The 26,914-nt window shown below is 40.0% G+C and overlaps 1 protein-coding gene across 2 annotated transcripts in view, besides 1 other annotated feature; it reads left to right on the top strand.

Moving 5' to 3' along the window:
• The window catches only part of LOC124902135 (uncharacterized), a 50,861-nt gene extending 29,586 nt beyond the window's left edge, over positions 1–21,275 (top strand). Inside the window, exon 3 of one of the 2 annotated variants that reach the window (XR_007061442.1) lies at positions 3,763–5,146. Coding sequence is in view for 1 of the 2 variants with exons in the window: in XM_047424284.1 (XP_047280240.1) it covers positions 20,338–20,477 (140 nt within the window). In the remaining variant the exon portion in view is untranslated. Of the gene's footprint in view, positions 1–3,762; positions 5,147–20,337 lie in introns of those variants that run through there. The other variant, XM_047424284.1, reaches the window with a different exon arrangement.
• Positions 25,783–25,952: an enhancer, noted in NCBI's record as "experimental_107363 CRE fragment used in MPRA reporter constructs". NCBI's record gives its function as "activates a minimal promoter by MPRAs in K562 erythroleukemia cells, with activity observed for both the introgressed and non-introgressed 9:27766978 variant alleles {active_cell/tissue: K562}" and the evidence as "EXISTENCE:reporter gene assay evidence [ECO:0000049][PMID:34662402]".

The following is a 26,914-nucleotide window of genomic DNA, read 5'->3' on the forward strand; positions in this document are numbered from 1 at the left end:
CTCTCAGTGCTCTGAAAGTGTGGATTCCTTTTCCACTTTAATGCTGGCTATAGTTCACAACTTGGCATTCCTGGACTGTCTGCTGCAGCTCTGGAATGATCTCAGGGTTTATGTTTCTTCCCCAGCTTAGAGGCAACACAGAAAGGGATCTTAATAGTGGTTGTAGCCAAGGGTTCATTTGCTTGATTCCCGGGAGTTTCACCCCAGAGAAATGCAGGTCAGCAATTGCTCAGTACAGTGAGACCAAGAAGGAAGGTTTGTGCTGTGGGCCCAAGCCAGGGGTTCCCTGTCTGGTGACGAGCTGACGGAGGGGTGTGGGACCCGTGGAAGGTGGACTGGACTCCTTTTCTTGGGTCTACTGCAGCTTGTTGGAGGTGTGGATAAGGCATTTAGGGTCTTTGGTCCTTCATTTGTCCAAGGGTGGCAAGAGAAGCTCCACTGCAGAGGCAGTGGCCAAGAGGCTTTCAGTTGCCTCTGGAGGCTCTGTCCAGGGAGTTGCCAAGTTGGTACTGGCTTGATAGCTCTGGTAGGGGGTGGCTGGAGGCCCAAGCCCGGAGGCCCTGCTTGGTGAGGAAATACGGGAATGGGCACCCATGTAACAGTCTGGCCACTTTTCTGTAGGACTGCTGTGGTATGCTTGGGGCCCGCTCCAATTCCCAGTCACCTCAGATTTTCCAGAACCTGGAGGTGTCACCAGTGACGGCTGCAAAACAGCAAAGATGGCAGCCTATCCCTCCCTCTGGGACAAAGCTCCTTCCTTCTCAGCTTTGTTCCAGGGAGGCACAGACCTGTTGCTGGCTCTAAGGCACATTTAGGGAGTGACTGGAGACCCCACCTGGGAGGTCCCACCCAGTGAGGAGGAATGGGATTGGGACCCACTTAAAAAAGCAGTCTGGCCACGTTTTGGTAGAGCAGCTGTGCTGTGCTGGGGGTCCACTTCAACTCCCTGTCACCTCAGACACTCCGAAGCCCAAAGGCTGGAATGGCTAAGTCACCCAAACAGCAAAGATGGCAGCCCACCCCTCCCTCTGGGAGCACCGTCCCAGGGGTTCAGATCTCTGTCAGCTAGAGAGCTTGTGTGGGGATGGCTGGAGGCTCCAGTTGGGAGGTCCAGCCAAGTGAGGAGGAACAGGATCAGGCACCCACTTAAAGCAGCAGTCTGACCATGTTCTGGTAGAGCAGTTGTGCTGTTCTGGGGGATCCCTTCCATCCCAGGTGGGCTCAGACTCTCCAAAGCCTGAAGGTTGGAATGGCTAAGGTGCCCAAACAGCAAAGATGTCCCTCCCCCTGGGAGCTCCTTAGGGGTGCAATGCCACTGCTGGTAGCTGGTTGTGGGTCTTCCCTTGTTAGGTGCCATGGAAATGGGGTCCGCAGGCTGTTGCTACTCAGCACCCTGGATTCAGCTTCTTTCCTAGAGGTATGTATAAGAGTCTAACCTCCCACTTTGCCAGAGCTGTAGCTACTTTTGCTGGAAAGGCCAGGTATCTAAGCCTCCAGGGTCTCCATGCATGCCTGAGTGGCTGCTCTGCCAAGATTACACATAGATCTGTCTGTCAAACTGAAAACTGAAGGCCCTGGTGGAGTGGATCCACAAGGAGATCTCCTAAGTGGAGGGTTGCAAAGATCTGTGGGAGAAGCGTGGTTTCCTGGGGTCACACATTCACTCACCATTCCCTGGGCAGGGGAGGATCCCCTGGCTCCATGTTGCTCCCAGGTGGGCCATTGTCCTGTCTTGCTTTTCTCCATTCTCTGTGGGTCCAGTTGTTTCCTTGATTAAACCCAATGCAAGTACCTGGATGTTTCAGTTTAAGGTGCTGTATTTACTTGCCCCTTCTATTCCTCTCTGTGACAGCCACATACTAGCTTCTTCTACTTGGCCATCTTGGCCACTCCCTCCTTGAAAGTTTTAAAGCAAAATATACTAGCTATTTTTCTCTGGTATAAACATTATCTATGTACATTATGGAATATGCAAAAATATGGAAAATGCATGGGTAGTAGGAAAGTATATGTATATGTGGTATAACACCTTTTAGGAGGACAATTTGGTAATCTACCAAAATTTGCTTCCCTTTTTTGTCTTGTATCTGTATTTCTACAAAATCATCCTATGGAAAAGAAAAAAAAAAAAAGCCTTCCAGGTTTTCTCCCTTGCACTTTTTAATCGTGATTATACAAGAGACATTATTTTCATCAGCTTTTTTTCACTTAACAGAAGATGTTTATAAGATAGTCATTTCCTTTTGTTGTTTTAAAGTCTATTACATTTCATTTTTACTGGCTGTATGCATGTCTTATGGGATGATTCCACAGTACTCTTATTGCTTATTATTTAGTTTTTTTTCATGGGATGGGAATGTGTTATCAATATTGCCTGGCAGATATCTTTAGAATAAAGCTTTTCTTTTATATCAGACTATTTCCTTATTTATGGATATTGTTAATTGCTCTTTAGAAACATTTCTAAAAAGGTTGTGTCATTTATGGTACCTGTCAGAAATGCATGGCTGTTTTAAAGCAAATGTAATTGCTTTCAGAAATCCGCTGCATTCTGAGTCAATTGCATGATTTTGTGAAGAGATAGGCTAGAATGGATGCTTATTTTTTCAATCCCTGACACCAGCTAAAGATCATCTTCCTGCTATGTGCATTTTATTTTCACCATTTGCTTATTAAATAAAGCAGAAGTTTAAATATAGCATAAAACTAATGATTCTTTGCTACAGTTGATGTTCTGCAGAAGTTATAAGCACTGATTAAGGATCAAAAGAATCTTGCCATTCTGTGCTCTAATTTTTGCATCAAAGCTTTCATTTGGCACTCAAAACATTCTTAATGATATGAAAGTATGACAAGCAATATCCTGATTAATTTATTTCCTCTAGTTTATGCTTTTTCACTGCTTGTAACATTGCTACCAGAATATCCTGAAAAGCAAAATTGAAAGGATTTAATATCTATCTTACAGTTGAGCAAAAGCTCCAAATATCTAATTCAAGATTTGCCTTCATCCCAGTTACATGGCTTCTCAGGACCATGATGAGAGAAGTCCAACTCTAATAGGGATAGATAAAATGGCTATCATCAATATGGTTTGGGCTTCAAGCTCTGAATAGAAAAAAGAAAATTAAAAAATGCAGTTAATTACAATGTATTATATATTTCAAAATTACTAAACCAGTGGATTTTAAATGTTTTTACCACAAAGAAATGATAAATATGTGAGGTGATATATTAATTAGCCTGATTTACTCGTTTCCCAATATCCAAACATCACATCATATCCCATAAATATAATTGGTTCTTTAAAATGAAAATAATGTTAAAGAAGACATAAAAAAATATAGGAGAAAGTGACTATCAAGTTTTTATCTTTTCATTTGAATATGCTATTTGTTTTTACTTTGTGAAGGGATTAATATTTGCTTTGTTTTACTGGGGATATCTATCTATCTGGTATCTATCTATCCAGCTATGTATCTGTCTATGTATCTATCTACCTATCTATCATCTATCTATCAATCATTGATAACAGTGCTAGATATCAATTGATTATCTCTCACCTCTAAATCTACTGCTGTTTACCCTGTTTTGTGATTTTGGGGCTGGGCCCTATGACATTTCACATTTGAGAGTTGGTTCAGTCTTAGGTTTTGTTGCGAGAGAGCCTAGAGAGACACTGCAGACATAGCAACAACAACAAAAACAACAACAACAAAAATAAAGAGGCTTTTATTGTGTGCTTTTCTCTTTCTCCTTCAGCTGCACATCTGGCAGTGGTGAGTGGCCCTCAGTCTCCACTGAGGGACACTGAGTGTCTCCAGCATCTCAATAGGAAGCTTCCTGCAGACCAACTATAATCTATTGGCACCCAAGTGGGGAGTTTCTATGGGCCAGCTTCAACCCATGACACCCTAGTAAAAGTCACCAACATCCGAACATGTGACCTCCTGCAGACCAGCTCTGGCCCACAGGACCCAGTGAAGTTCTCTGCTCTTCAGCAGGTAGCAGTTGTGCCCTCTCCAGTGGGGTCAAAAATCTCAGCCATTGGTATGAGCTGGTGCTTTTCAAACTTTTAGCTCCTTCTCTGGGTATTCTTTTTTACCTTAGGAGTATAACTGCCCCCAACATTTGCTGTGAGTACTTTTTAGTCTACTTAGTAGTCAATCACATTTTACCAGTTAAGAACTTTTTCTATAAAGTTTTCCCCATTCAAATTCCTGGTGTGGTTTCTTTTTCTTGACTGGATCATGACTGATTAAATAACATAGTTACTGGGCTCCTGTTAGATACAATACACTATGTTAGGTACTGGAGACACAGCAGTAAAGAAGACAGACAAGGTTCCTGTCCTCAACACCCCTACAGTTTCCATGTAATAAACAAGTAAAGTGTTAGATATGGCAGAGAAACATTTTTGGGATGAGAGTCATGGGTAGGAACAGAAATGTTCTGTGTAAGAAAGTGACACTTCAACCAAAACTAAAGATCAGTAGAAACTGTTCAGATGAAGAAATACAGAGAAGCATCTCATCAAAGAGAACAGTTTGCCCAAGGACTGGGGTTGGGTCAGACTTGAGAGTGGCAGGTGGGAAGACCTGTAGCATGCAAAGCACACTGCTGAGGGCTGGAAAAAGGGGAGAGACAGGAGCAGGAGGTGGACCTCTGAAGGCACTGACAACTGTGCTCGGGATTCTGGATTTTCCCCAGCATTTGTAAGGACTGTTGCATCGTTGAAGGGTTGTTAGCAAAGGAGGAATATGATCACATGCTTATGTTCTCATAGTTTAGAATGGTGGTTCTTAATCCTGGGTGCACATTTGAAACACCTAGGATATGTAAACAAAACCTTGTTGGTATGGTCTGAATATTGGCGTTCCCCCACCCCCAAATTCATATGTTGGAGCCCAATACCCATTGTGGTAGTATTAAGAGGCGAGGGCTTTGAGAAGCAATTAAGTTATGAGAGCTCTACCCTTATAAATGGGATTAGTGCTCTTACAGAAAGGATTCCAGGGGGAGCTCCCTTGTTCCTTCCACCATGTGAGGACACAGCTAGGAGATACCATCTTGGAAGCGTAGAGCATCTGCTGGTACCTAGATCTTGGACTTTACAGCCTCCAGGACTGTGAGCAACAAATCTCTATCATTTATAAATTACCCAGTAGTATAAGTTACCAAAGGTATTTTGTTATAGTAGCTAAGCAGACTATGGCCCCAAACCAGTTAAATCAGTCTCTATGGGAGTGAATACTAGGCATCAGTATCTATTAAAGTTCTTTCTGTGATTCCAATATACTGGCAAGGTTGAGAACCACTGATCTTGAGAAGTAAAGAAATAAAAATATGGCATCATGAGGATTAAATGATCAATTTAAAGACAAGTGCATTTGTTAGCTGATGACAGTTTTCTAGTGTATTACTTAAATTAACCCATAATGCTGCTTCATTATGCCAAAGCCATTCAGAATTTTAAAGGCAGAGATTTGGCATTTTTGCTAATTAGAAAGTGGTTAAGGGGGACAAATAATTTTGATCTACATTTCCTCAAATGTTCACTCAAGGCAAGGGTAATGTCGTTGGGAAGTTAGACAAATGTCTAAAATTAGGAAAATAAATGCAGCACAGAACTTTCTATTGAGTTTTGCTTTAGTTAAAAAACCCAGCTTCACGTAGTTAAAAAAATATTTGCTGAGCAAATGAATGAATGAATGACCTCTTTGTAATTAGATTCCAATTAAACAAAAATAAAGGAGGCATATCTGCTACCCCTTGACTTGACTAAAATTAATTAAACATTAATTTCTCATCCGAGATTAACCTCAAGATAAACCATCTTTTAGAGCTGTGTTTGACTAGTTTATGAAAATCTATATTTAGCATAAGGGTGAGGAATACTGGTACCTTTGATTTCACTTTTTTTTCTGGCACTAAAAACTAAACTCAGTTTGAAAAGAATGTAAGCACTTTCTTTGGCTGTATAGCTGTTTCTATTGCTTTCTAGCCTGCTGTGCTGACCCCCAAACCACACTGCTTACGTTACTTTAGAGACCGAATCAGATGCACTATCTCTGGAGACCATGCAGGTTAGAGAAAAATCATTAGGTTTTGCATTATAGAAGCATTACAGGAAACAAGGATTAAAATCATAACGTAGCCACAGTAGACTGGCTAATCTCACTCGAATGGGACATGGTTCCTTTGTGCCGATTATGTGGCATAACAACGGATGCACAAATGGATTGCTGTCAAGAGAGAATAAATTAATTGATTATCGGGGGTATTTTAGTCAACCTGTAATGTGGCTGAAACATGAAAATTAATGTTGTTAAAATTCCTGTTCAATATTGAATCCCCTTCTGTGGCACTTATTGTCTGTTCTACTTCTTTTGGTTCTTTATTTCTCTAGCAGTTGGTTGCATACTTGTAAATCTTCATGAGAATAAAACCCCCTGAGATTACAGTAACATCATTATGGAATAGTTTTCATTTACTCACGTGCCTGGTGAGAAACTAGGCTCAGAGTTGAGATGTTCAGTAAATGTTTTTTGAATTATGTTGGAAAGAGGACTGGGTTGATAGGTCACTCCATAAAGTAAACATGTGACTGAATTCATGGTATCATAAATTATTGCAATAGCTATAAAACAAAAGGCCACATAATTCCCTGGGGTTTTACTCTATCTTGTTTCATACATACTCAGCTTCCTCACACATATTCTTTAGCTAAATTACTGTACCTTAGGAAGCTCTATGCTTGATGGTATCTGAATGCTTTTAAAAAGTAGCAATCAAATAAGACCAAACCATAATGTATGCCATTTGGGTAGTACCTGAAATAAGGCCCAAGAACAATTCTAATAAGAACAAAAAAAGTAACTGGAGAACGTTATCTTAATGACTGTGAGAATGAGGAAATTTCCCAACTGCTTAATGTAGGCTAAGTCCTTTACAAAGTTTCACTGGGAATTACAGCTATTTACACATCATTGTCTATACTGAACATTATTCTACTGGAATACAATGCTGGATTCCTCATTAATCATCCTGTCACTTACATCTGATATTAATAGTCATAATAGAAGAGGGAAGTAGAGGAAAGAGAACTGGGACATGTAGGTTCTAGCTCTGGCTGAGTTACTGTAACTGTGTGGCCTTGGGAAATTCATTGGCTCTATTTGAAGGAGACACATTCATTCCGATTTTTCAGCCAACACAAAGCATTCTCTTCTGTAAAACCCCTTGTGAATTCAGCTTTAATGTAGACACTTCCTTTAAGAAAGGGAGAGCTCATTATTTTTCTGATATAGCTTATTCTTTTGCTGGACAGCTCAAAAGATTAGCAAGATTTTAATTACATTGCTCTGAAATCTTCTAAGGTACATTCATCTATTGGTGCTAGTCCTTTGGAAGACATAGAAAACATACTCTATGAATGTTAACCATCATTATCATAACTGTCATTATAAACCCATATGATATCCTCATCCCTGAAAAAAATCATCCTTGAAAAGTTAATATAGCCATAGGGGAAAAAATAATGTTTAGAGTTAGAAGTCTTCAGTATGCATCCTACCTTCAGTGATTAATTAATCCGTATTGATTCTGAACCTCAATTTTTTAATTTCCCATGCAAGAATTTCTACCTCAAAATGATATTCTCTGTAAAATGCTACCATTGCCTTTTTTTCCTTCAAATTTTTATTAATATTTTTGCTGTGATAATCTTCTCATTCATTACAACCTCTTCCCCCAATTTAAAGACCTGTAAGGTAAATTCTGAAATGACAGCCCATCACAGCCTATGTCATCCTCTGACTTGCACCTGTGTCCCATTCACCCCTCTATGAACATTTGTCACACCATGTTGATGTTTATGTCTATTACTGTCTCTTTGATTAGAGTGTGAGCTTGTTGAGTGAAGACTTTGTGTCACTGCTTCTTTGCATCAAATGTAATTAGTTTACCTATATTGGAGGATTTAATGTGAAGATCAAACGTGATACTGCATGTGAAAAGTAATTTGGAAAAGATGCTGTGTCATGCAAAGTTAAGGTTGAATTATTGCTGTTATAGTTTCCTCACCGAAGAAAAAGAACTCTCTAAGCAGCTAAGAAACCATAATGAGGTGGTGAAGAGCAAAAGCATGTTATTTTCAACTGATGGAAGATGAATTTATAAATTTTGTGGTTCTGAAGATAATTTATAGTCAACATAGGACATCACACAAGATTTTACTAGTTCTTTTCAGTCTTACAGAATGTAGAAGGATTGCAAGGATCCAGGGTTTCTCTAGAACCATGGAGTTCTGGAATGTTTCTCTTTCAATTCATTTACAGATTTAATCTCCTCTAAATGTTTATAGAAATCATTATTTTTTGTTGTCAAAGCCAGAATTTTCCTCTTATTTACTGAAATTCATAATACAAGTTCCTTCAGCTCAACATAACACAATTTCTTCTTTTTTTCTTAGCTTCAAAAAAGGAGAAATATTCTGATCTCTATCCTAAAGGGAAGGTCAGACACTAAATGTATTTTAGGCTTTGTGAGCTATAAAGTCTCTGTTGCAACTACTCAACTGAGTGCAAAAGTAGCCAGAGACAATATGTGAACAATCTGGCATGGCTGTGTTCCAATCTTATGCATATTTACCAAAGAAGCAACTGGCAAAATTTGACCCACAGGCCATAGTGTGCCCACCCGTGACCTAGTACATTGCTACTTAAAGAGCAGTCTGCAGACTCTGAGTATTAACATCACCTGGGAGCCTGTTAGAAATGCAGAATCTCAGGCTCCACGCTAGACCTACTGAATCAGTATCTGCATTTTAACAAGATTTCCAGGTGACTCACATGCTTATGCAAGATTGAGAACTGTGGTGGCAGATGAATAACACAAGGGAGACATCTGGGAGCCTATTGTGTCATGCTCACTGGGGTGGGCTGCCTTCTGGGAATGTAACTTGTGGGCCTTTTTCAGTCTCTCCTTCCTTTGCCAGTTTCCTTCTCCTGGTACATTCTCACCCACTAACCGCATGCTCTGTTCCTGCTGTCAGCTTGCCTTGCCACCTCCTTAGCCAAGCAGCTGCTCATTCCTCAGGTTCTGTGTCCTCCAGGGAGAGCTTTGGGAACTTGTCAGATGGAAAGGGTTTGGCTCGATGAAAGCATTGCTGGATACATGACTGCACCTTATATATTTACACGATGCCCCTGCCTACCCACCTCTTTTCTGTACCTATCTCTCCTTTCTAGTTTCAATATAAATAGGAAAAGAAGCTCAAGGTGCACCTCTGCAACCTGCACGTTGTGATCCTAAAGAGCCTACAATAATGTTGAACACTTTTCAATAACATAATAATGCCAATGACAAAAAAAATTCTAAGAGTGCTGGGGGCAAAGCAATTGAGCTGTTCTAGCATTTTCATAAATGGAAGCCAGAGGCCTTAATTATGATGTATTTTTCTTCAGGTAAGACTTACAAGCAATTTGGAAAAGGCAATTATGTAATTTTCCTGCCGTTCTCCCTCCCCCTTCTCTTTTATCCTTCTTTATTAATAGGCATCTATCAGAATGAAGTGGCCCACACACAACTTTGGGTTGACTCAAGTGGGTACAAATTGATTATTCAGCCTTGTAATCCGATTAAAACAATCCTAGAATAGCCCACTAGGCTGTATGAGGTTTTCTGTGGTGAAAGATGCCCTGTGCTGGCTCCTGCTCTCACCAAGTGGCTGCCTGGCCCGTACTTAAACACATCCAGTGGCAGACAACTTATCTACCTGAAGCCTACTGCTTCATATATATTAGGTCCTCAATAAATACTTATTGAAGGCATGCCCTTTCTTCCAGGGCAGTACTTGACACTTGGTAAGAGACAACTTACTAAAATCTCTCTTTTTCTAATTTCAACTGATTTATCTTTCTCTGATCTTGTGAAACCCTACCTTGGGCCCTATATAAAAAGGCAATTAAGAGAAATTGCTACAATTTGCCATGCCTGGCGCACTATACATTCATTTTCTTAATTAATCTTCACTATAAGTAGTTGCTATTATTATTATTTCTATTTTAAAGATGAGGAAACAGAGCCTTTGAAAGAGAGCAATTCATCTGAAGCCTCACAATTAGAAAGTGGAGGAATGGAGATGTGAATCCAAGCAGTATAACTGGAGGTAAATGCTCTAAACCATTAAATACTATAGGGCTTATAATAAAAATTTAGGGTGTAGAGGATTCTCCAATGACTAGCATTTCCACAAACTTATAAGCTGCACAGTAAGTCACGGACTCTTGAAGCCCACGCACAGGAAGCTATTATGCATGGGTCATCAGGAAAGGCATTGAAAGCTGATGCTGACATTCTATTAGTCCCACTCAGGTGCAGCAATGCAAAAATCCTCAATTTGTCAGGGGTCCCATTACAATCAGAAGCATATCTCTGGTAAACACATAAATGGTGGTAGGTTCCCTGAAGAGTTAACTGGTAGAGTCCCACTGATCACCTTTCACTTCCTCCTTGATAGTGAGGTCTCCAGGCTTTTCACCAAAGCCTCTAATGCAATCCCACAGCAACCGGCTGTGCTCCCTGGTGAAGGCAATGCATTAGTAGTGTGAAAAAATTGCAGCTCACAAGCCATTCCTTGAGCAACTGTGCTGACAGCAACAGGCCCCTTCTACTGCCACAGGGACAGGTCTCCTAGAAGAATATCCAATTCCTGAAAATTAGAATAACCCAGTTCACCTCAAATGAATGAAAATTGTCATTCTGTTTGGATTTCTGTGGTCATAAGCCCGAATATTGTCTGCAGTCTTGCTGTTTCAGGCAGTTACTGAGGCTAATAGAGCTAGGAGAGAGGACTGAATAGCATCTCAGCTACTCTGCAAAATGGAACCTGAAAGAGAGGTGAAAAACTGCACATGATTTTTTCTCTTCCTCTGGTTGATAATGACAACAAATCACTATTTATGGTGGACATCACAAAGTTGCCTTCCTGGATGGTGGGATAAAAGACATTAAATCATTTTATGAAGTTCAAGTGTCATACAAATGCGAGGTTGATGCTATTGTTATCCACCTTGGATTAGGATGGTTACCGCTGGATTGGCTTGTGACAGACAGTGTCTAAGCAAACAGAAATGTCAAAGAAAACACTATTGGAGAGACCAGAATGCTTATGTAAGCTGATAGCATGTTGTGCCTCTCATGTCATGTACGAGCATGATGTTAGAGTATGATTTAAACCCAATTCAATCCAGGCTACTATAACTTGCAGCATCCTTCTTGGGAGATGTACATGTCACTGAAACAGGGTGTTTTAGTCAATTGGCCTCCTATCGATAGTATCTAACTTACCAAATTTTCCCGTATTTCCAGTGCTATCCAACTACCCTTCTCTTCATACTTACAATTTCAGATGCATTTACTTTCTCAATAGATATTGACAAATACCATGTCCCAGGCACTGATCTATACATTGGTATAAAGCCAAATAAGATAGGAGTCTCCCCTCAGCATCTAGTAGGATGAAATGGATAAACACATACAGGTAAAAAGGTGTTACAGGTACTTTGAAGTTCCCTGTACAATTTATAGTTAGAGAAAGAAGGAAGAAGAGACTAGCTCTATCAGAGAAGGAGTGAGACAGACATAGATTAGGAAAACATTCAAGCAAGACCTGCTTTGGCCTGGAGGTGGTTATGGCACTATAAGGAAACTTTGAGTATTTCTGATCTAGTTCATTATATCCAACCCAGAGACAACCTTGTTTTCCTCATTTCTAAACATGTGCTGAGCACCTACTTTGTGCTAGAACTATGGATTTTGGAATTTACAGTCTAACCTGGAGGTAGACATATTATTAATTGTATCTACAGAAGAGAGGTCCACTCCAGGAAGAAATTATGTGGCCTTCACACATGTTTTTGCCTTGGTCTGGAATTCTTTTCCTGAGGCCCCTGGCCACCTCTCCAACTTATGGGGCTCACTGTTACCCTGCCTTCATGATGCAGTGGAGTCAGTACTTGTACAGGTCATAACCTAGTACCTGGAAGGATTGTATTTCCTAGCTGGGTGAGGCCACAAAAGTAATCCTGACCAGTGAGATGTGAGCAGAGCAGGGTGTACCACTTTTGGGTGGAGTATTTGCATGTTAGTGCCAAATCCTCAGAGCCCTTTTAATCCCTCTCGGTTAGTAATTGGTGTCATTGGAGTTGATGACTGTTCCATCAGCCTGTGTCCCTAAGTAACCATTAGTAGCAGAAGCTCCTGTCAAACTGCAGTAGACATCTAGGTGAATAAAAAATAAGGCATAAGTCCCTGAGATTTTGGGTTCTTAGTTAACAGAAAAATTCACGGTGTCCTGAGGATATGCTCTTTTGGGGGTAAGGCCTCCACAGTGCCCTAAATAGTTTAGGCCTCTCATCTGTATGTATGTATTGCTCCCAGTGCACACTCTTAAATTTTTTTAAAAAACCACATTTTAAACATGTTTAACAGGTTAAGCTATAAAAGGAGATGAACGATACTTGCCTTATTTATTAACTTATCCATGGGGCCTACCACAATGAGTGGGAGACAGAAAATAAAGTCTTGTTGAAAGAATAAATCAAGGAATCAATGGACAAATGAACCAGGAATTATTGCATGAAATCAAGTGTTTTTGAAGGGACTCAACTCTTTATGTAAATACTATACTGCTCAAAGCCTGGGGAATACGTCAATGACTTCACAGCATTCCTCCTGCCCTTCCCTGACTGCTGTCCCTCAGTTTTAAATAAACTCAATATCAAATAATCCTAATTTCAATAGGACAAGTTGTAGTTTCCAAAAGAATCAGTTTTACCAAAACAGCATGGTACTGGTTAAAAAACATAAAGCCGAAAAACAGACACATTGACCAACAGAACAAAATAAAGATCTCAGAAATAACACCACACATCTACAACCATCTGATCTTTGACAAACCTGACAAAAACAAGCAATGGAGAAAATTTTTTTATTTAATAAATGGTGCTGGGAAAACTGGCTAGCCACATGCAGAAAACTGAAACTGGACCCCCTCCTTACACCTTATACAAAAATTAACTCAAGATGGATTAAAGACTTAAATGTAAAACCCCAAACTATAAAAACCCTAGAAGAAAATCTAGGCAATAAAATTCAGGACATAGGCATGGGCAAAGATTTCATGATGAAAATGTCAAAAGCGGCCAGACGTGGTGGCTCACGCCTGTAATCCTAACACTTTGGGAGGCTGAGGCAGGCACATCACCTGAGGTTGGGAGTTTGAGACCAGCCTGACCAACATGGAGAAACCTCGTCTCTGTTAAAAATACAAAAAATTAGCTGGGCATGGTGTTGCATACCTGTAATCCTAGCTACTCGGGAGGCTGTGGCTGGAGAATCACTTGAACCTGGCAGGCAGAAGTTGCAGTGAGCCAAGATCGTGCCATTGCACTCCAGCCTGGGCACAAGAGCAAAACTCCATCACAAAAAAAGAAAAGAAAAGAAAAGAAAAGAAAATGTCAAAAGCAATGGCAACAAAAGCAAAAATTGACAAATGGGATCTAATTAAACTAAAGAGCTTCTGCACAGCAAAAGAAACTATCATCAGAGTGAACAGACAACTTACAGAATGGGAGAAAATGTTTGCAATCCACCCATCTTACAAAGCTCTAATACCCAGAATCTACAAGGAAGTTAAACAAATTTAAAAGAAAAAAACAAATGACCCCATTAAAAAGTGGGCAAAGTATATGAACAGACCCTTCTCAAAAGACGACATTCATGCAGCCAACAAACATGAAAAAAAAAGTTCAACATCACTGATCACTAGAGAAATGCAAATCAAAACCACAATGAGATACCATCTTATGCCAGTCAGAATGGCAATTAATACAAAGTCAAGAAACAACAGATGCTGAAAAGGCTGTGGAGAAATAGGAATGCTTTTCCATTGTTGGTAGGAATGTAAATTTGTTCAACCATTGTGGAAGACAGTGTGGTGATTCCTCAAAGTCCTAGAAACAGAAATACAATTTGACCCAGCAATCCCATTACTGGGTATATATCCAAAGCTATATAAATCATTCTATTGTAAAGATACATGCTTGCATATGTTCATTGCAGCACTATTCACAATCGCAAAGACATGGAATCAACCCAAATGCCCATCAGTGGTAGACTGGATAAAGAAAATGTGGTATCTATACACCATGGAATACTATGCAGCCATACAAAGGAATGAGATCATGACCTTTGCAGGAACATGGATGGAGCTGGAAGCCATTGTCTTCAGCAAACTAACACAGGAACAGAAAACCAAATACTGCATGTTTTCACTTGTAAGTGGGAGGTGAACAATGAGAACACATGGACACAGGGAGGGGAACAACACACACTGGGCCTGTCGGCAGGGTTGGGGGAAGGGAGAGCATCAGGATAAATAGCTAACGCATGCTGGGCTTAATACCTAGGTGATAGGTTGATAGTTGCAGCAAACCACCAGGGCACAGGTTTACCTGGGTAACAAACCTGCACGTCCTGCACACATGTATCCCAGAACTTAAAATAAAATTTAAAAAAACCATCAGTTTTACAAGATCCATTTAGCAGGAACAAAGGTTTTCCCTGAATTGACCTGGAATTTGCTTCATCTCTTTTATCGCGTTGGAGGAAATACTGCTCCTGGATGTTTGCTTGGACCCATGGTTAGACTGCACGCCTCTGATGTGGACAACAGCCCATAGACTATTGACTACCACATGTCTCTTGAAAACATGTCTTTGATGAAGCAACTCCCCTCCCTGCAAAAACGTAGCAATTAACTAAAGCAAGTAAGATTATGTCTTGGAAAGATAATGAGGTTTACTTCCCTGCCTATATAATTTTTGCCTGTGTGTGTCTGGATCCCAGCTTGGATCTCATCCAGCTCACTCCTGGGAAAACATAGCTGGTATACTCCGTAGTACTTTAATGAAGTGCCTGCCTGTGTTAAGAAAACATCAAAGTTGCTCCAGCTTCAAAACCAGCTAAATTTTGGAAGCTGCAATTTGAGGGCAGTATGGGGAACTCCCTTCACCTCTCTGGCAAGTGAACTAATGACAAGAGAACAAGGATGACCACCATTGTGTGTCCTGTGTGTTACTAAGCTCTGAGTCTTCACACATCTATTTTACACATGGTCCCTTCATTAGTCTAGGACATGGGAGGTGTAGGAGACAGACAAGCCAGAAAGACCTTTCACACTGGCTCATGGCCAGATCTGTGTTCCTTGAGGAGGCTAGACAGGTTGGGATATTACGTAAGAAGTGCCATGTAGCCCTTGTCAATCACTTCCACCCTCCTTTCCCCTGTTCCTCTAATGCGCCTCAAGTTGACTTGACCGTCTATTTTGCCTCGGGTATAAACTTATTTCCAGCTCCTGCACTGAAACCTGCTGAGCATTTATGCACAGAGCCACTGGCTGTGCAGCTGGAGCAATGGCCCGTGCTCACCGTCACCTCTCTTTGTTATGCTTGCTTCCAGTACATTCATCTTGTTGCTAGTTTTTGTTTCCCTGATCATTTGTGATTGCCTGTGTTCTGCCACTGTATGGCTACTCAGCCTTATTTTCCAGTGACAAGGATAGTCTCCTTTGGACAGTTAGGGACAAACAAATAAATAGCATGATTTATAGACCAAAGTGCCAAAGAGTGAAAAAACAAACCCTGAGTAATCTCCATAATACTAATCTAGACATACACTCACAAAGTCAGGAAATACAGAAGTTAAGTTGTCCATCTCAATGCTACACCTTGGAAGGAAAATTCTAAGTTGTTTTGGAGAAGATACAATAAAGCTGTGTCAACATGATAGCGAATCCATTTTGGCACATCTGCAATATGTGGGGCCAGCTGGTAAAAGGATGATGCCAATGAAGGACATCAGTCCAAATCTCGTGTAGACCTGTGTGTTTCTCTGATCAGGGATAACAGGCTTCCTCCTGAACTTTACTGCTCAGAAAGGAGCCGGTGTTGGGGATAGGTATGGGAAGGGATAAATCAGCATCAGTATTATGACAGTGAACACAAGCATAGTTAAGAATTTCAAGCTATATTCCTGATCAATATCATTTGGATATATCTCAAACCAGTTTTTTTTTCCTACTCAGTTGATTGGAGAATTCTGTCGAGAGTCAGTTTGTAGTTCCAAGCCTATCCTGTTGAACCACTCAGTCAGCAATTCAATTCAAAGAACATTTACTGAGTGTTCTCTGTTTGTAAGCCATCGGAGAGCAAAGGACCAGAATGTCTTATATTTCTATTTATTCTCAACCCTTAGAATAATGCTAGGCACACAGGTACTCCATAAATGTGTGATGAACATAACTGAACTACTACATGGAGAAGGAGGACTAATATATAATAAACACCCACTGGGTACCAGGCATGCTAGGCACTGAGGGATCAGTGACGAATGGAACTGCCTCTGCCCTGGGGAGCCTATACTCAATCAAGTCTTTCCTTGTGGATCTTACATGCAGATGATCTGGAAAATTAACCACTGAACTCAGACACTCTCAGGGCAGATTCAGAATTGCTCAAGTTCATGATTAATTAATGGCTTTAAAAAAGCTTACGGCACCTTTTTTGGCTATCCCTTTTTTGGGGGTGGTGGGGGAGGCGTATCCTTAATCTTCTGAAAGAAAGGAGAGTATACGTCTTCAGGATGGACCTAGATATGGCGTGGAACCTGAAACCTGCATCTCATGTTTTCTCTTTCCTTGATTAATAGTTGGTTTAGGTTGGTTCACAGTAAAAAACTCATCAGTCAAGCTGGGTACCTCTTAGGAAGTACTGGCTCCCTGCATTGAGGTTGACTGCTGGGAGCATCTCACCAAACACCATAGGTCATGCATGTAGACAATAGCTCTCAGGTCTAATTTCCTATCATCTTACTGAAAACAGAGCTCTTGTAGAAGACATCTGCGAAACTCTGACTAGTACCTTCTTGGAGCTACCACTAGCATCTGTACATCCCTCTCCTATAGAAGCTATCGTTGAACAGCAATAATTTATTGCTGTGTCTCCTTCACTTGGCTGTGAGCTCCTTGAGGATCCAGACTGCTGATAGCATAGGTGGCCCAGAATCACCTGTAGGCGGAGCTCAGAGCCATAATGCTAGAAGCTGAAGTTTTCCTTGGGAGAAAGCAAGCATGGAACTTTGATTTCCACTTTCTCTTTTTGGGTTGCTACAAGCTTAAAGGAAATTTCTATTTTAATCACATCTTTTGTGCTGCTAATTTGCTGAGATATGCCCAGGAGTTCTCCCTACTCTATCCTTTAAAAAAGTCGAACAGGAACCAGAGTAGGTCCTAGGAAAATCGTGTATGAAGAGAGGTTCATAGAAGGCCACCAGTTTTAGTGTCGGGGGCACCATTCATACAGAATATAATGTGAATTGTGTACCCTAGAGATGCTTCTGTGAACCCTTTCCTCATCCGTGGTCACTTCTGTGCAAAGGAGCAGCCAATTCTGCAGGCTAAGAGAAGGCATGGGAATTTAGAACCACAGCCTGTGCTGTGTTTGTTCCTCCCTGCAGGGTCTTTGAGTGGTGACTGTGCCTCAGGGCTCTGCAGTGGGGACAGTTAGCTGAAAGGATACAATCCAGCCACAATTTACCATCATTTCACTTACAATCATGTCTTAATCTCCTATTCATTTCAGCGTCTGCAGCATCCAGCACCCTGAACTTGGTAGGTATTCAACAGATGGTGGTTGAAGGAAGCTGCTGAATGACTGTAGTTTCTCCTATTTACCTCCTACATAGTGATGCATAAGGTGAATCTTAAGAGAGATCAGAAGGCTTAAGGACTAAGGATATGTGAAGATATTTGATGATCACTATTTGGCTTGATTTGATGATTTTGCTCTTAGGAATCCCATTTTGAGCACGCTAGAAAGAAGATAAACTTTAGAGTCAGTTTCAGATTCTGGCTTTCCTACTTATTAAATGTATGACCTTGGACAAGTTCTGAGCCACACTCTCCTCAAATGAAAAATGGCAATAATATTACCTACCATAGCTACTCAGTAGTTATTATTATGCTTATTATTATCTCCCTTCCTCCCTTCAAAACCTGGATCTTTGTCTTCCTTTGTGACCAACACCTAGTTACCTTTTCCTATTGTGTTTGACTGCTTTTCCACACATTGTTGGCAGGACCATGGCATGTCACTGAATTCCTAGCTCTTGTCCTGACATCCTGGTTTTGCACTGTCCAGTACAGTAGCCACTAACTAGATATAGCTGTTTAAATTTAAATTAATTACATAAAATTAAAATTTCAGTTCTTCGACCACCCTAGACCCACTTCAAGTGGTTAGTGGCTACCATATTGAACAGAACGGCTATAAAATGTATCCATTTTGCAGAAAGTTCTATAGGCCTATGGTGCTCTAGATATTGTTTATTTCTGACATCTGGACTGTCACAGATTAATTCCACCAGGAAATGAGATCTCAATCTGGGTACTGTGTTTTTCGATGGGTTTAAAACTTGGGGAGGGAAGCGAGGTCTTCGTATTGGGCTTTCTCAAACCCCAGCACATCTCTCTTATTTCCACATTTACTTCACATATTTTAGAAATGAACTTTTTAGGTTGGGAAATAATTATCAGAAAGTGAGTGGTTATGACCACCCAAAGCAGTCTTCTATACAACCATGACGGAGGATATGTATTTGGGGTGAAATGATTGTTTTCATTAAATGGACCAAAAGATGGCTTTTAAGCCTGTAATTCTCATGGTAATTGTCATGTTCTGTTGCTATGAATCTATACTCTCTTTAAACGGAATCTTCAGTTTAGAGCTGTTTATATGTCTCTTTAGGTGGAGCCCTGAGGATAATTTGGTTAAACAAGCTCCTGAATACATTTTCCCCAAAGGCCATGTGCTATTAGAAGTTTTGTTGGGCAATTATGCAAGAAGGAAAAGGAAAAGAGGGAAAAACAAGATATTACATGGGACATAGTTCAAGCCAACAACTGGTAGCCCTCAAGGCTATTTCAGACCATCAAATTATCTCTTACTCTGATTTTGATGCTCCATAATAAAATATATGATCCAACCTAAGCATCTTTTATGCCTTTACTGCAGTCTAACTCATATTCTCTAGATACTTAGAGCCAATTCAAAGCAGGTTTCCTTAATAATTAAGGTCATGCAACCTACGTCACATAAAAGGCAGGATATCAATGATGAGCCACCCTGCTGAGAAATTAATCTTCAATCAACAAGTGTATATGTGTACTCTGGAAATCATTACCAATATTTCATGGTTTCTTTTACTGTAGAACTGTGGGTTATGTTACATGTCAAGATGAAATCAATGGGCTGAGAGGAATTTGGTCTTAAGGGCTTTGGAATGGTGTAACAATCAAGTTTTTCTTTCCCCTGCCTTACTGAACTATTATATTTGCAGAGCAAATTCTCCACATAAAATTCTATGTATTCTTCCAACCTAGCTCCTTTTTTTCCAAGTCCTCTTAGCTTAATCATTATATTTATTTTTTTATTACAACATGAATATATGCTCACTTTAGAATGCTGGAAAATAGAAAATAAGAAAGATGAAAAATTGTTTCTAATCTCACCACTGTAACATTTTAGACTGTTTCCTACCAGCTTATTTAGGCTTAAAAAATAAAACTGAGTTTATTTTGTATTTGTAATTCTTTCTGCTTTTCCTGCTATTGTAGCAGACATTCATCATGTTGTTATAGCTATCCTTTACCATAATTTTCAATAATTGCTTAACCATTCTCCTCTTGCTAGGTATTTTATTTGGTGTCAATTGTTCATGTTTATAAAAGATTCCATAATTTATAGAACTGTATTCATGACACTAAAATTTCTATATTGCCTGTTAAAATTATATGTATGTATATATGCTTTTTTTTCTGATTAATTCCCTGAAGTAGAATTACTGGGTCAATGTTTCTTTTTAAATTTTCACTTTTTTTGATTTAGGTCCAAAATGATTTGCTGGAAGCTTGAGAAAAATACACTCCCTTGGTCTGAGATTGGTCTGACAAGTAGAAGTGTGTTCTCCTCATTTCAGGGAACATGATCAAGTTCCTTTTTGCTTTAGAATGTTTTGAGATGCTCTTCTTTCCCTGCCCTCCACTCCCCAACACATACAAAAACGCACACTCTTCAATCATGGAAAATGGAAAGTTTCTGCTTTTCTTGTCCTGGCCAGGAAAGAAATCTCTTGGCAATTTTGAACAATACAGTTGAAAGTAAAGGAGTTCTAATTGATTTTAAGGTGTTTCTTTTTCCTTTTTTCTTTCCTCAGGCATGCTATACACATTCTCTACTGAAATCAGTGTCCTCAAATGCCTGCGGCGTTCTAAACACACGGTGGGTCCTCATGGGATGGAAGAAAGTGCATTAGATTTGAAATGGGAATATCTGGCTCAGGCCCTGGTGGTCTGATGCCTCTATGTGTATTTCACACCATGTGAGGTAATTTATTTGAAACTCATCACCTTGTTCAGTCCTTGTAGTGATTCTCTGAGCTAGCAATTACCAATCCGATTAGATAGCTGGGGAAGCCAAGGTTTAGCAGGGTAAAACAATGATGCATGACTGGCACATGGTAGACTTTAGGAAGCTCAGTTCTCCTGATCTCAGTCATTTACTTTTCTCATTGTCCCAGACTGTTCTTATTATTCATGTTTCACTGGACAAGTACTTAACCTCCCTGAGTCTTAATTATATCTACCTCAGAGGGCTTTTGTGAGGATCAGATGAAATCATTTAAATTGTATATGTTATTTAAAGTGGAATATAAGTGTTAGGAATTATGAATAAGCTAATTGAAAAAGATGACTAATATAACGTTTACTTAAATGGCTTATATTGACTTCTGAAAAGTTTGATACTTAATTGCTTAGTTCCTATTTTACAAATTTTCATTTTATCTGTTTTCCTTTTTTGCTTTCCTTTGATAAGCCCCGTGGACATTAGATGCAAAAATCTTTCAATAATTAAATGTTAAGGTATTGGATTCAAGCACCTAAGAACTTTAAGTTCCTTTAAGACAAGTTTCTCAACTTTGTCACCACTGACATTTTTGGGTAGAATAATTTTTTGTTGTAGAAGCCTGGCTTGTATATTGCAGGGCACTTATCAGCTTCCTGGCCTCTACCCACTCATTGCCAGTAGCACCCTTCCCCTAATTGTGACAATGAAAAAATATCTTCAGTTATTGCCAACTACCTTTTGGGGATGGGCCAGGGGATGCAAAGTTGCTTGCATTTGAGAACCACTGTTGTAACAGAATGTCTGTCTCTTGAGAGGCAAATTTTATTCACTAGCATCTTGGTTTGATGTTTTTTTTTTTTCTTAATATGTCAAAAGTATACTGTAGAATAGTTTTGCAAAGGAAAATATCTTTAGCATGTGTTGCCTCAGTCTATTCAAATTTTACAACCTTGTTACTAGTTGGACATTATTTTTTTCCTGATTGCCCAAACAAATTTCACTGAAAGCCAATACCAAGATCTGAACATAAGATTATAAAAAAAGCAAGAAATAAGAAAAATACAAATTCACACAATTACAATGAGAAACCTATTCTGAGAATAACAGCTTTTGTAAAATTTCCCATTTTTATTAAAATGTTGGTTCCAAGAATGGATTTGTGTTGTGCCATTTTCAGTTCTTGTTACTCTCATTGTCATAATAGGGAATGAGCCAAAATTGCAATGCTTTGGATAGTCTTGTCACTTGGAATAGTGTGGAGACCTGCTCTGACCTTCTGTTATTCCAGAGCAACAAGGAGGCATAGCCACTGACCAGAGAAGATGAAGCACTCTGGAGAGATCAAAGACCATCGGGCCTGAGTGGCTGTACAATTTCGCACTGGGGGTTCTATTCAGCAGTCTAAATTGCAGCTGGTCTGTCTGTCCAAAGCACAACATGGCACACAATTATGTAGCATCACTCAGCTTAGCAAAAAGCAGTTTGCATCAAAGGAACAACAGAATAGGAAGAGACCTAATATTTCTTGAAGCCTACTGTGTGCTAACTACTTGATGTGTGGTTTTCATATACTCTTTGCACCAAACCTATGAGGTAAGTATTATTCAATCCAGGTTTTACTAAAGAAAGTAAAGTAACTTGCCTAAGATTAGGTAGAGCTGGAAGACTCAGATCATGGCTTTAAAGCCTCTTAGCACTTCCCGCTAATATATTGACATATGACTTAATAATCTCATGAAAATCATTACTGTGTTATGAACTCAATTCCAAGATTTAAAACTGAAAGCATTATTTTAAAAAATGGTTTGTTACTTTTAGGGAGCAGAGAGTGAGCGCCACTACCAACTTCAAGAGTAGTCAGTAGGCAAAAGAAGAGCTCGGGCCGGGGCGGGGGTGCTGGTCATGATAGTGATTAAAAGTTCTCATCTTCCTCTTATAGGCAATTTGCTCTTCAAAAAACTCCGAGTCTGTGTGGTGTTGCCTACGTAAGTCACTGTTACCCTTCATTCTTCCTAAAGCAAGGTTTATTTATTTCGAATTATTCAACAAACAATTATGAAGCTTTGTTATGCAAAAGGAACTGAGCTAGGTGCTAGGAATAGGTATAAAACACAGGTCCTTCCTTCAAGGTCGCTTACAGTCCTGTAGAGGATATAAAAATGCTTATTAATTTTTATAAAACTTAAGAGAAAATTGAAAGGGACTAAGAAATGTTGAGATGAAAGAAATGGTATAGTTTAGCGAAGGGCCACACACTCTGACTTGGAGATCGCAGCGTAGACTTTGAAAACAATTACAAGAGCAGGTGCTGAGCTGAGCAGAGCAGACTTAGAAAATAAATTTTGCGTAAAGGCAAAGGTCACTGATGAATATCGGTTGATGACTCATCTCGCTTTTCTAACCTCACACCTCTGAGAAACCTGAGCGTTCTCTCTTCAGCCACTGTAGGTTACAAACAAGCAGGAGCAATTGCCCATCTTAACACATGCTGGTATTTCCTTCCTGCAATGCTCTGGCCACACTTCTCTCTTTGTTTGTCTACATCACATCCTCACCTCTTTCATAAATCATTTTAAACTTCTTCACTATCCACATACTTTTTTTCTTTGGACTTGCCCCCTCATCCCATTTCTACTGAAAAGACTGGCCTTAGACAACCTTATGTTCCATGGGATCTTCTCCTCGTCAGTTCACTGGACCAGAAGTTTATGTCTGTCCAAAGGGAAACCATTTGAGCCAAGCAGATTCTGTCTCTCAATAACGGAACTAAGTGACACAGAACATTTTAAATGTCGGGAGAGATGGATCTGCTATGTGAGATTGACAGTAATGTTGTTCCAAGCCAAGGAGTTGAAAAGTAGAGAAAATAAGAAAGCTGAGAGACACAAACTCAAGAGTGCATGCAACCTCTTAGAAAACAACTGAAATTGTTGGCTTTCAAAGTTACTTCTGGGTTACCGGGGGCTCAGTTGCTCTTAGGTCTCTGCTTTAGATTTTAAAAGTTTTATAACCTAACGTCAAGTTTCTCTTCTTAATTAACCAAGGCTAATTAGAAAGGGTTTCTCATCCTTCCCACCCAATGGGCTTGGATCAAAATACCTGGCTATACTGATATTCCAATTTTCTGAATTTCCTTTCACGTAGTCTGCGCTATTCATTTTCTAAATCTATCAGGTACCACTGTATTGTATAGCCTGGCGTATACTCCATTGTTAGACGGAACTTGCAGATGCTTAGTATAGCAAAGGTGAGGTTTTTGCTCATGCTAAATGTCCCACACAGACTGGCAGGAGGCCTATGATCATCAAGTTATGCAGAAACTGAGGTTGATGGAGTCTCCTTCCCCATACATACCTCAGTGATCACCAAACCAGGGCAAAGAGAACATGGTGAACAAAATGCTGGCTCTTCCAGATTCTACCTAGAGGTGATTCAGTGGCTTACATACATATTTCCTTGGTTAACACAAATCACAAGACTAGGCTTAATTTCAAATGGGGTGGAAGTATAATTCTGTCCTCAGAAGAGACCTGACATATTTATTTTACAACTTTTAAGATTTTCATAATCTCCTATAGTGGTACAATGTGAGGCACATGACTTAGCCTCTTTCTGCCTCAGTTTTCCTTTCTTTAACATGAAGATAACAATAGTATTTACCTGTTATGGGGATTAAATTTGATGATATATGTAAAGTGCTTTGGCATAGTGCCTAACTCATTGTGAATGCTGTGTAAGTATTAGCTGGTGCTACTTGTAAATACATAGAGTTATTTGTTTGGAGTCATCTTTTCATTCACATTCCTACTATGAATCAAAACCCCCAAAGATACCACAGCTGGCATGCTTCAGGGATGACATCTTAGTAGAATTTCTTACTAATCTTTCATCTCTTATTCACATAGGGACAGAGATTTCAGCTCCTGGTTGTTTGTGCTGTCCTCTGCCCTTATAGCTTGGCTAACTTCTGAAAAATCAATTGTACTGCAAATGCTAGGCCATCACTTTTTCACTGCAGTACCTACCCTGTCTTCTGCATAAAATGGCATTCTAAATAACTGCTGATGACTCAGAGGAATACACGTCTATTAGCTATTCATTGTGTCCATAATCCCCCCAAGAAAATGAATACAATGACAAGTGTTATATTGAATAACTGCAGAGGTTTGGATTAGGGATTTTTGTTCTTGTTTTCTGGGTGGACTCCCCTGAATAACTTATCACATTCATAACACTACAGGGAAGGAGTTTTCTCTTAGCTCAAATTGCTCTGCTCAGTATAGCTTCAGGGGGAAAGCAGAGGGTTACCAGCTGTAGAAGGCCTGACATTAATTTCAGAGTTTATATTAGAAACCTTTCTACTCAGACTGAGCACTGGTGAGGAGAAAGAAAAAAAAACTCTTTTAGAAAAGCAGCTGAGAATAAAAAATGGCTTCTATTCTAATAGAGAATAAATGTGGTCTGGCATCAACAAGGGAATGGATAAAATGCAGTGTAATCAGAAAAATGCAGTTTCCAGCCTCATCCTGTGATCAAAGCAAAAGTCTGTTCTTTTGAATAGTTAGTTGCTCAGATATTTGCTTTAGCACGCCCACCAGGGGCCTCAGTGATTTTTTTTTTTTTCTTTCCAGGAAGGATGGTAACTAGCACTTTGTGCTGCTGGGAGAGTGTATATTTACATGGTGTCCCCAGCTTTGTCTCTCTAAATGCACACAGCCTCCTTCTATTCTACCTGGAGCTGTGCCAACTGTAAGAGGCCCAAGCCAATTATTGACCTAGAGGGGTTAGTGCCCACTGTGCTCTGCCCTCAACTAGATTCCCACCAGGTTCAGCTGGTGGCTTTTTAAAAAAAAGTATTTATCTCTAATTCCTTGGGGATGCCATATTTCCTCTTTATTTTTCTTTCAGTGATCTTTTGTAACCTTTCTCCTCCCACCATTTCTCTTGATCTCAACTGGTCTTGCTTGGATTTCATATTTTGCTTGAGCGTCATCAGTCAGCAGGCTGGGTGTTATTTTGTACTCTTTCTTGATGGAGGAAAATAAGGTCAGACTAAACCAGGAGAAGGTGTGGGTGTCTGAGAGTCGCATTTGCTGGTAATGCTTCCCAAGTCCTCTAAAGATGTAGGGGATCTAAGCTGTAAGCTAACTAGTGGGCAGGTCATCCATTGACTAGGTGTGATTGTGAACCAGCTTGGGTGCTACCTGGTTTATGTGCAACATTTTAATTGGCCCAACAACCCTGTGAAGTGCTTACCATAGTTATCCCTACTTTACTGATATTGCAATGAAAACTCGGAAATGTTAAGGCACTTGTCCAAGTTCTAAACCATTATACTACATATTAGCCTCTCTGGATCTCAGTATCCTCCTATGTAAAATAAAAGGATTCATTTAAATTAGCTTCTCAACTTCAGCACTATTAATATTAGGGGCTAGATAAGTCTTTGGTGTCGGGAGCTGCCCTGTGCATTAGAGGATAGTTAGCAGCATTCTTGGTTTGTGATACTAACAGCACCTCCCTTCACCCACCTGGGACAAATAAAAATGTCACTAATCTTTGCCAAATGTCCCTTGGGAGACAAAATTACTTCTGGTTTGAGAACCCTTGGCCTAAAAAAATTTCCATGATACTTTCTAGATTGAACTGTCTACTGTTCAATGTGTGCCTGCTTGGTTTCCTTCTCTCAGCTCTTCTTTCCTCTTACATTTTTATTCCTTTTCTTTAGCTTACCCATCCATAGTTTAGGGATAACAAAAGTGCCCGCCTTCTGGGAGTGTTAATTAGTTCAACCATTGTGGAAGATGGCGTGGCAATTCCTCAAGGATCCAGAACCAGAAATACCATTGACCCAGCAATCCCATTACTGGGTAAATACCCAAAGGATTATAAATCATTCTGCTATAAAGACACATGTACATGTATGTTTACTGCAGCACTATTTACAATAGCAAAGACTTGGAACCAACCCAAATGCTCATCAAGGATACACTGGATAAGGAAAGTGTGGCACATATACACCATGGAATACTATGCAGCCATTACAAAAGAATGAGTTCATGTCCTTTGCAGGGACATGGATGAAGCTGGGGACCATCATTCTCAGCAAACTAACACAGGTACAGAAAACCAAACACTGCATGTTCTCATTCATAAGTGGGAGTTGAACAATAAGAACACATGGGCACAGGGAGGGGAACATTACACACCAGGGCCTGTCGGGGTTGGGGGAAAGGGGAGGGAGAGCATTAGGACAAACACCTAATGCATGCAAGGCTTAAAACCTAGATGATGGGTTGATAGGTGCAGCAAACCACCATGGCACATGTATACCTATGTAACAAACCTTCACGTTCTGCATACATATCCCAGAACTTAAAGAAAAA

This window comes from Homo sapiens, chromosome 9, assembly GCF_000001405.40.
Source record: "Homo sapiens chromosome 9, GRCh38.p14 Primary Assembly".
Taxonomy (NCBI): domain Eukaryota; kingdom Metazoa; phylum Chordata; class Mammalia; order Primates; family Hominidae; genus Homo; species Homo sapiens.